Raw genomic sequence first — 11,191 nt, 5'->3', positions numbered from 1 at the left:
AATCTATCAAACTATTGTCTTTCCCAGCTTTGAATGCTGACAGCTAAATTCAAACACACTATTTCTCTTTAAATTTGTCTTGATAATCCTAATGCCTTCTACAGTAGCCTGCCCTTCAATAGATGCTTCCAGATGAGAGGAGATAATGTACTATGTACAGGAATGCACAGTAAGATTTCTTGCCTCTTTCACATTAATTTCACTCATGCCTGTAAAAGAGGGTCCCTCCCAGCCCCCAAGCTCTGTGCAGAGGAAATGTTGCTTCCCTTTTCTGGTAGTCCTGTTGATGCCAACACCTCAGCTGATGGTTTGGAGTAAATGGTAGTAAAGGGTAACTTGTGGCAAAATGCGAGTTTGGATTTGGGTTTTAGTGAATATGTTTAAGTTACCGACTTACTCTAATTTACTTACAGACAGTATCTCATAATTTAAATTTCCATCTGGTAAATTATTAAGTAAAGTACGTGTGACATTTGTGGGTGTGGTGGGGTGTGTTGTGGCATGGATGTGTGGTGTGTGTGTGTGTGTGTGTTTGTGTATGGAGGTGTGTATTTTGGAGGGTTGGGATGGGCAGAGGGAGTGTCTAGGAAAGTCCAGTTTCTACTGCCATTCAATCTTTTTTTTTCCTGAGGCGGAGTTTTACTCTTGTTGCCCCGGCTGCAATGCAATGGCATGATCTTGGCTCACAGCAACCTCCGCCTCCCGGGTTCAAGCAATTCTCCTGCCTCAGCCTCCTGAGTAGCTGGGATTACAGGTGCCCACCACCATGCCTGGCTAACTTTTTTTTGGTATTTTTAGTAGAGACGGGGTTTCACCATATTGACCAGACTGGTCTTGAACTCCTGGCCTCAGGTGATCCACCCACCTCAGCCTCCCAAAGTGCTGGGATTACAGGCGTGAGCCACTGCACCCGGCCTGCCATTCAATCTTTAACTTACTGCTGATAATTTTTAAAAAAGTAGATTCTTGCCACTGGCACCAAACTCAGCACATTTATTCTTGCCGGTTTGGGCTGACATTTAGAAAATTAATTTTTTTTAGTCATTCTCAGGACAAGATGGCTTCCTAATGAAAAAGCACCACTCTTCTAGCAAAAGTGCACTGGGTCACATTGACAGTATCAGAGGCCCATTGAATCCAGAAGCTGTTGGTCCCCCAACCTCCTGGTGCTCTGTGGGGGCCTGAATCATAGAGAAGATCTTCACCATTAGAAATCCTAGAAGTCACTGAATGATGAAGAAATTTCAGAATTCTCATGAAGAATTTCTTTCTATCAGTTAAGCCCAGATGGTCTGCAAAATACAAAAAACGATTATAAGATATGTTGATTTAGGATCACGTGTGCACCTCCAACCATCAATGCCAGCAGGTTGTTTGTTGGATCTGAGGTCTCAGTTTAGTTCATTACTGTTGGTTAGCAGGAGATTATAAACTGGAATTTCAATGGCATGTGTGAAGCTCAGCCTTAGTCAATATTTACACACAATGATAGTTCTCATCAAGGCATAAGGACTTAGTTATGAAATGATTATACATCACAACCTATCTATAAACAAGATTTTAATTATCGTCATCAGCAGCAGCAACAACAAACATTTTTGGAGGAGCTACCCTGTGCCCTAATTGAATTAATGAATTTGTTAATCATTGTTTTCTGTCTCCGTAAACATTTGCTAAGTTCAATCTCAGTCAAATTACCTGGGGACCAGAACATGAGACCTCATTGCTTAAAAGGATGATCTTTTTTCTTATAATGTGAAGAGATTTTTGCTTGTGCTTGAAAGTGTAACTGAAGTTTTCTCAGCAATACCAGCCAGACAGGGCACAGTTGAAGTCCATGTCTAGAGGGGCCTTTTTCCAGAATTCCTAGCAGTGGGATCCCTGTATATGGAGGCCCCAGTTCCCTGGCAGAGTCTCCAAGCATTGGGCACATTTGCCTTGCCTGTCCTCTTGCTCTGGTGCCCTGTGATTCCCTTGCTGTTTGTCTGCTGTGTGTCCATTGCAAGGCTGTGTGTCCATGTCAAGGCTGTGTGTCCACGTCATGACTCTCAATAGCCCCTACCTAACCATGACCTCTCTTATCTGCTTGGTCCTCAGGGCCCTTTCAAACCAGCTGTAGGTGCTGATGCTGTCCTGCGGAGAAGCTTCTCTCTTCCTCTTCAGCACTCCCTGCTGGCGTGGATCTGGTCAGCCCTTTGGCCATGAATAAGGTGACCTCTCCACAAATATCCAGCTGGATTTTAGGCTCAAAGGTAGGCTGGTCTTGTGTTTGCAGATTCCTGCCATGCTTTTGGTCTTGTGATTCTTTCAGTTCATCTTCCCTATTTCATTTAACTTACTGCTACTCCAAGCCCATGGGAACCTCTGCCCAGAATCCCTTGAGGGATGGGTGGGAAGGCACATGGGGGTGCTGCCCTGAAACACCCATGATAATTTCTTGGTTCTCACACATAGCCAGTGTGCCTGGGGGTGGTGCATCCTGACTGTGGCTCCCAGAACTTCTCTGTCTGGGAGAGTTGGTCCTACCCAGTTCCCAGGCCAGGAACTCAAGGGCAACTCATCTGCTTTTTTTATGACACCAATGGGATGGGATAATTTCCTAAGATTTTGGTCTTGCTTCCTTCTTGGAGTCACTTCTATCCTTCCCATTTCTAACAGAAATCCAGGCTTTGCCTTCTCTTGCCTCAAAAGCAGAAGGTCTTCCTGATTTTTGAAAAAGCCTAAGCTCAGACTAGATTAGATTTCACCAGAGAAGGAGAAGAGAGCCCAGAATGCTTTTGAGAGCGTTGAGCAGGGAGGGGAGAGGTCATTCACCTGGACTGGGAGAAGGTTGGAGGTTGATGAATTTCATCAGTAGTGGGGGGCATGTCCCCTCTAGTGGCAGCCACCCAAGGGAGCAGCATGACTCAAATGGGACACCTGTTTGATGCACCTCAGAGGCAGGGCACTTCCAGTTTTGCTGAGGATTTTCTGAACCCCACAAATGGAACAGAAGCAGATGAGTTGCCCTATCCCAGATGGCCAGGACCATGGAGACCCTGGTGGTTTTCTGTATCTCCGGATGTCTCATAACCAGTGGGGCCTCCACAATGTCTCGTCCTGCTTCAGACCCAGGGACTTTTTATGTGACCTATGCTTGGAGAGCTCTAGTAATGACTGAGTTTGACTTTTCTACTTCTCAGGGGAGTGGGGCTTAGAATTGGACTTAAGTTGATTTAGAGAAAAATGAGGCTGGGTATGGTGGCTCACGCCTGTAATCTCAGCATTTTGGGGGGCCGAGGTGGGTGGATCACTTGAGGTCAGGAGTTCGAGACCAGCCTGGCCAATATGGCAAAACCCCGTCTCTACTAAAGATATAAAAATTAGCCAGGCATAGTACGCACCTGTGATCCCAGCTATTTGGGAGGCTGAGGCAGGAGAATCACTTGAACCCAGGAGACAGAGGTTGCAGTGAGCTGAGATCACGCCACTGCACTCCAGCCTGGGTGACAGAGTGAGACTTTGTCTCAGAAAAAAAAAAAAAAAAGAAAAAGAAAAAAAAAGAAAGCAAAAATAAGGAAATGTGGTATTTTTTGTACTCTCTGTGCTGGTGAATGGTCATTGATTGGCTACATTCTGTCTGGTCTTTGCACGTTTCAGGAGGTCCCATCACAAATGAAATCCATGCTGCTCCACTTTGACAGGTTTGATGTTGTGTCATGAGCATGCTCAGTGGACAACCTTGTGTGACCCTAAGGACCAAAGAATTACCTAACACTTATAATCCATATTCTACATTCTTAATACAGAAGGATTTCTTATTGCATTGCAAAGTCTAGGTCAGACGAAAGCAGCAGGTTGAACTTGTTCCAGGTAATAGGTTTCTTAGTGGCTGAGCAGCCTGCACACATGAAGGTAGGATATACAGAGAGCAAGAAGCAGAACAAGTGGGTGAACAATGGTTTGGATTGTGAAATTATGTTAAACTTTCCATTAGATCGCCTGGTTTGGGAGTGAGCCTTCATTCATTATTCATTAGTACCTACTGATTTTATACCGCATTCTAATGGTTGCCCATGTGGCCCTGAACTAGATAGAAATTGTGTATTTCAAAATAGCAATGAGTAAATTTCAAATATCGCACCAGAAAGAATAAGTGAAGCGATGGATGTGTTAATTCGCTTGATTTAATCTTTACACATTGTATACATATATCAAAATATCACACTGTACCTTACAAATGGATACAATTATGATTTGTCAATTAAAAATATGAATAAAAAAGAAATTGCTACAATGAGAACTATTGCTATTTATTACCTTAAAATGCCGAGTGTTGATCTTAGGAATTTAAACACAATGGCAGCAGCTCTCTCTCTCCTACCTGGAGGTTTTCTGTACACAGCAGATGATTGTCACTACATGTACAGAAGGTCTGAAGACTCTTCCTTTGGAAGACTTTAACATTGTAGGCATGAATGGGGAAATCGTAGGGGCACAGTGAGACCTTGTTAAGGAGGGGGCTTCCTGTTCACGTCTTTCTTTACTAAGAAAATTTAGGAGATACATGATGGAGAATAGTACACATGGTCTGTAGCACACACATTTAGGTCACATGCCTTCCTCTGCCTTATTTATCCATTCAGGAGGATATGCACTTGTCCTGACAACCCCCTCACTTCCACCCCAGTAATGGTAATAATCGAACTTATAATACATAACAAAATAAAAATAACTTACCAAAGCACTAAACAATCTTACTCCCTGGTCATTAGGTCACCAGCTAAACACACTTGCTTGGTTGGCTTTTTTTTTTGAAACAGGGTTTCATTCTGTTGCCCAGGCTGGAGTGCAGTGGCACAAACATGGCTCATCGCAGCCTCAGTCCCCTGAGCTCAGGTGATCCTCCCACCACAGCCTCCTGAATAGCTAGGATACAGGCAAATGCCACCATTGCTAATTAAAAAAAATTTGTAGTAACAGAGGTCTCTCTATGTTGCTCTGGCTCATACCAAACTCCCGGCCTCAAGCAATCCTCCTACTTCAGCCTCCCAAAGTTCTGGGATTACAACAAGCATGAGCCACCATGGCCAGCCTGGTTCACCATTTCAAAAAATTTTTACTAATTTGTCTTTTCTGAAATAGAAGATACAAATCTGCACCTTCTACACTATGCTTTGACTATGTGAATTAATAAGCCAGAGTCTAGGAAATGAAACAAACACCACCATTCACAAAACATGATTCTAAATGCAGAAAAAAACAAATGATCCCATTTGAGGGTGAGGAAAGGCTATGTGTATGAATTAAGTGACCTTTATGTACCAGGCACTTCATATATGTTATTTCATTTATGAGCCAGGCTCTAGTGTAACCATCTTACAGATACAGAAATGGAGTCTTAGAGAGGTTAACATATTGTTTAGGGTCTCGTATAGGCAGTTCCGTGGAACTGAAATTTTAAATGTGGTCTATTTGTAGCTAAATTCATACTCGTTGCATTCTACCACATTGCTTTCTAGACTTAGAAACTGAAACGGGGAGCAGAGTTGCTGCAGAAAGAAGGGGTTTGAGAAATCTGGGACCGTAGGATTTTATAGAACTGGTGAAGAAATGGAACCTACGAAGTAACTGGCCAATTACTTGATCATGTTGTGAGACAGAGATATGATAGCTTATCCTAAATCATGGTCTAAATTGTTGCGTTTAGATTAAAGCGTTTGAGAAATCCACAAAAGGGTTAAAGTGCAATCACTTTCTATTGCTTTATTTAAGTCATAGAAAAGATTAACATGTAGTAAGCTGAACTGAAATGACATGGGCAAAGCGAATAAGAAGTAATTTTGCATTTAACAGATTTCCTTCTTATTCCTTCACTCACTCCAGATGGAGGGTAATGTAAACTTCATATCATAGGAAGAAATGCCTATTGATCGATTAAACATCAATAATGGTGCTCTGTCTCCATCTGAGTATATGAAAGTGACTGTTTTCAAAATTAACCCCTTTCTGGGTCCTACACATGTTATCACGATGCATCCTGAATTTTGGAAGCCAGACTGCCCACAGCTGTGCAATTATGTAAAGTGGGCTATTTTCCAGCCATCATTTGCATGCAATGGTAAAAAGCTACTTTTATAGTTTAGTTTAGATACAACACACATTGGAATACTGTTATTGACTTCATTTCTTCGAGCACACATGATGCTTCCTAATTATTGGGGACTTTCCTTTTTACGGCACAATAAACAGATTTTCTCTGAGTGCAAGTTCACTATGCAAGGGTTGCCCACATAGTGGAAATAAAAATCTTTAACTTAAGATGTTTATTTCTTAGCTAGGCAGTCTTTCTGGCCTGATAAGAAATACCTGTATATCCTTCCCTGCAGTCAGAGTGAACACTAAAAGAGGGATTTGTATCTACTTTGTTTTATTTTTTTAAAATCTGAATAGCAGCCTTTCTAGAGTGTACAATCCTTCATTTAGTTTGTGAATTTAGAGCATGAGAATTGCTGTTGGTTTAGACCTGCAATTCATCTCACCCAGAGCTCTGTCCTTGACAGGGGTCCTAGGTACAGACCTAATGACTAGATCTGGTTGTCTTGGACATCAATCTGAAAAGCCTAGTGATATAATCCAATATATGCATTGTTTTCATTCAGCAACAACTTATTACTACCATGACTGAGGCATTGTTATCCACTGCAGAGGACACAGAAAATGTATGGGACCCAATCACCACCTTTAGAATTTAGTGGGGAAAGTAAAATCTGCATACATAGATCTAGGTACAAAGTAGACAATAATAATCGCTGAGAGAGAGGGCAGATTACTGCAGGAGGATTTAAACAACAGAGATAATTAATATTAGGGCATATATTAGGAGTGCATTGTGCATGAATTTATCTAAATACTTCGTGAACATTTTTCTTACCATTTCTAAACTAGAACTTTTTTTTTTATTGATACATGGTGCATGGGATGACATGTCATAAGTTAACCTATCTTCAAAGATTTAGGAATAGTTTTATTTCTTCGAAAAGTTTCCAGTTTCATCCCCCTTGTTCTTGTAATGACATTACTTAACAGAATCTAATATATAGTTAGGTGCTGACTAATTACAGATTTCTAATAGGTCAGCATTCAGGACTTCCATAGCTATGAATCAAAAGTAGATTAGTGTGAAAAGAGGCACCTCTAGGTTAGCAAGATATATGATTTAATAGGTAGGATAAAATATTGGGTGCTATTTCCAATTCTGCCACTTGTTCACTGGATAGTCACTTAACTGCTCTATATTTTAGTTTTCATAGCAATAAAATGCAGATAATAAGATTTCAGCACCATTATAGAAAATTAATGGTAGAAAAGGTCTTTAGAATCCTAATATTTTTTTAAAAAAACATCATTCCATCATTGTTCAGGTATAATACACAGGAAGAGAAGTTAAAGTACCCCTAAAGTAACATTATGAACATTTTACACATGCATAAAAATATTTTTTAAAATGTTATAACTTGTGTCTTGTCATTGCTCTGTTATTTAATTCATGTCATCCTTATCCTTTTTGAAATATTTCATTTCCTTGGAAAGAAAATTAATATTAAGATTTTAAAAAATGCCCTCTGGACATTCCTCTTTCTGTGGGCCCCGGTTTCTGTTGGCCAGTGATGCCATTTACACCTAGATTTACCTTTATGTCAGGGGAGAAGACCTGCTCTTCATGAAAGCTCTGCAGCCTTCATGGTGGACAGATCTCTTTCTGAAGGTGACCTGCTTTCAGCACTGCTGGGGACTCCTGAGATGAAATCAGTTTCAAGAGCTCTCTGGCTTTGAAGTGAGTTTTGTGGTGATGTCTTTTTTTTTGCCCTTCCAGTTCATGCTTGTGGCACAAAGCAAACTTTATGAGTCCACTCAAATTGGCAGTGAGTAGGAAAAAGAATCTACCAAGCAAATGCCTGTAAGCTGTAGTACCTCAGGGATTCTAATCCATGCTTGCTTGACTGGTGAGTGCTTCTACTTCAAGAGAAAAAACAAATTCTCCTGACAAACTACTTGGATACTGTTTCCCGGGAGTTAAAAGAACAAAACCTGAGAGGTAGCATTGGTTCCTCTGGATGGATCCCCAACCAACTTCAGTGTTGGCTAATAACTTTAGCTTTCTTTCTTTCTTTTTTTTTTGTTTTTTTGTTTTTGGGTTCCGTCAAGAACATAGAGGCTACTGGACTGTACCACCCCTAGGCCTGGGCAAGAGGAGCTTCTGCCCTGTGCCCTGATCTTCAGAGAGCATCATTCTGGCCTCATAGCTGAGCTCCTTCATACAGGGCAAGGGGTGTGTGAATCTAAGGGGGACATGTCCACCCAGAACCACATTTCCTTTTCTACATTATGCTATGAGTACCCAGAACCTCAGAATTCCTTGCACAGATTGCCATGAGCCTGTTTATAGGTCCTCCATGAACTTCTTCCAGAATCTTTTCCCCCAAGGATGGCTGAACCCACTGTGGATGCATCTCTAAGCTCAAGGGGTGGCCAAGGAGTGGCTATTTCCAGGGGGATGTGGCCTGAGTCTGGGCTTGCAGGCTTGGGTGTCTACATGTGTCCTTGTAGGTCTCTCGTGGTATATTGTGGGGCCAGAAGTAGGAAGACAAGAGAATTGGATCATGGGCTGGGGTGGCTCTCTTAGGTCTCTATATTCTAGCATAGAACTCCGAGGAGTCCAAAACTCGAAATAAAGTTGGCTTCCCAAATTTTAAAGAAGGTATATCTGTCAAGATAGGCATTTTCTATTGAACATACATATCTAACATATTTTAACTACTTTTTGCTTGACTGATAAATTTTAAATATTTGGATATAGACATGTGAGTATCTATTTATACTTTCACCCTGGGCTCAGAAAAAGGGAGGAATGGAATACTGCCAGATATGCACTTCCTTCCTGCTCCTCACATCCTATCATAGGGAGGTCTGAACTCTTCCTTCACCAGTCTCAGAGGATAAGGTTCCTCTTCCAAGTTTTAAAGACCACCCCTTGATTCCAACCCCTCATATCATTCTATATCTTGTGTCACAAATTGTTCCCTTTTTCTATTAGATTTCCTTATCTTATTAATAAGACAGGTCTCTCACACCAGTAAGAATGACTATTATTAAAAAGTCAAAAAATAACAGAGGCTGGCAAGGTTGCTGAGAAAAGTAGATGGTTATACACTGTTGATGGGAGTGCACATTAGTTCAACCATTGTGGAAATCAGTATGGTAATTTCTCAAAGAGCTAAAAACAGAACTACCAGTTGACCTAGCAATCCCATTACTGGGTATATACCCAAAGGAATGGAAATTATTCTATCATAAAGACACATGCACATGCGTGTTCATTGCAGCACTATTCACAACAGCAAAGACATGGAATCAACCTAAATGCCTATCAATGGTAGACTGGATAAAGAAAATGTGGTACATATACACCAAGAAATACTATGCAGCAATAGAAAAGAATGAGTCCATGTCCTTTGCAGGGACATGGTTGGAGCTGGAGGCCATTATCCTTAGCAAACTAATGCAGGAAGAGAAAACCAAATACTGCATGGTCTCACTTAAAAGTAGGAGCTAAATGAGGAGAACACATGGATACAAAAAGAGGAACAACAGACACGGGGGCTTACCTGAGGGTGGAGGGTGGGAGGAGGGAGAGGAGCAGAAAAGATAACTATTGGGCACTAAGCTTAGTACCTGGGTGATGAAATAATCTGTACAACAAATTCCCATGGCATGAGTTTACCTATATAACAAACCTGCACTATTGAGTCAGTACCTCCTACAGGTCTCTCTTCCTTTCAGTCTTGGCTCAATATTATCTGTCTTTATATTTCTACCAGAATAATTTATCTAAAACAAAAATCTGATCAAGTCATTCTCCTTTAAAATCATTGATAGTTACAGCATAAATACGAAGTTATTTAATATAGTATACACAGCCCTCTGTGATCTGCCCACTGTTTATCTTTTCCTTTCTGTCCCTTCTCACAACTTGTGTTAAAGTTATATTCAACTTCTGGTTCTAGGTGCTTCAGGAGCTGTGGCTTAAGGTGCAGACATGGCCAAGTCCAAGAACCACACCACACACAACCAGTCCCGAAAATGGCACAGAAATGTCATCAAGAAACCCCTATCACAAAGATACAAATCTCTTAAGGGGGTGGACCCCAAGTTCCTGGGGAACATGTGCTTTACCAAGAAGCACAAGAAGAAGGGCCTAAAGAAGATGCAGGCCGACAGTGCCAAGGCCGTGAGTACATGTGCCAAGGCTATCGAGGCCCTCGTAAAGCCCAAAGAGGTTAAGCCCAAGATCCCAAAGGGTGTCAGCTGTGAGCTCAATTGACTTGCCTACATTGCCTACCCCAAATTTTGGACGTGTGCTTGTGCCTGCATTGCCAAAGGGCTCAGGCTGTGCCAGCCAAAGGCCAAGGCCCAGGACCAAACCAAGGCCCAGGTCCAAATCAAGGCCCAGGCTGCAGCTCCAGCTTCAGTTCCAACTCAGGCTCCCAAAGGTGCCCAGGCCCCTACAAAGGCTTCAGGGTAGAGATCTCTGTCTGCCAATATGAGGACAGAAGGACTGGGGTGACCCCCTGGGCTGCCGTCTGCATGGGGCTGGTGTCCTCCTGTGCTATTTGTACAAATAAACCTGAGGCAGGATTCGTTTTAAAAAAAGTTATATTCCAATAATGTTGCCCTCTTATGCAACCCTCCTCCTCAAAACGGACACTTACCTAGCTGCCTCACATAAATGAGCCTTTTTTCTTCTTCTTCAATTTCTTGTCTGCCTGAAATACTTTTATTAACTGCCACTCCTCCTAAATTCTGGTCCCAAATTGCCTCCTTTATGAAACCTATCCTGCTTCACCACTCCCAAAAACTCAGCTAGAGCCCCCAATTCTGGGATCTCATTGTACCCTTTGAATGCCTGTATCACTATACTTACTACATTGTATTGAAAAAAACATATTTATGGATAATTCCTCTCTCTATTCTTAGCAACTCAAGAATTTGGAGTCTGTCCGATTTGTCTTGATACCTCAGCACAGAAGGTATTTAATATGTTGAGTAGCATCACCCCACTCTCCAGTGTATTATAACGTTTACATTCTTTGTTGTACAGAGAAGTTCTGGCTTTAGCAATAGAGGGAAGCTATTCCTCTTCACTTCTTCC

General features: G+C 41.7%; 1 pseudogene; it reads left to right on the top strand.

Moving 5' to 3' along the window:
• Positions 10,034-10,683, top strand: RPL29P17 (ribosomal protein L29 pseudogene 17; annotated as a pseudogene).

The sequence above is a fragment of the Homo sapiens genome, chromosome 6, assembly GCF_000001405.40.
Source record: "Homo sapiens chromosome 6, GRCh38.p14 Primary Assembly".
Lineage (NCBI taxonomy): Eukaryota > Metazoa > Chordata > Mammalia > Primates > Hominidae > Homo > Homo sapiens.
The sequence above is the reverse complement of the archived record's forward strand: the minus strand, read 5'-3'. Positions and strand labels throughout refer to the sequence as shown.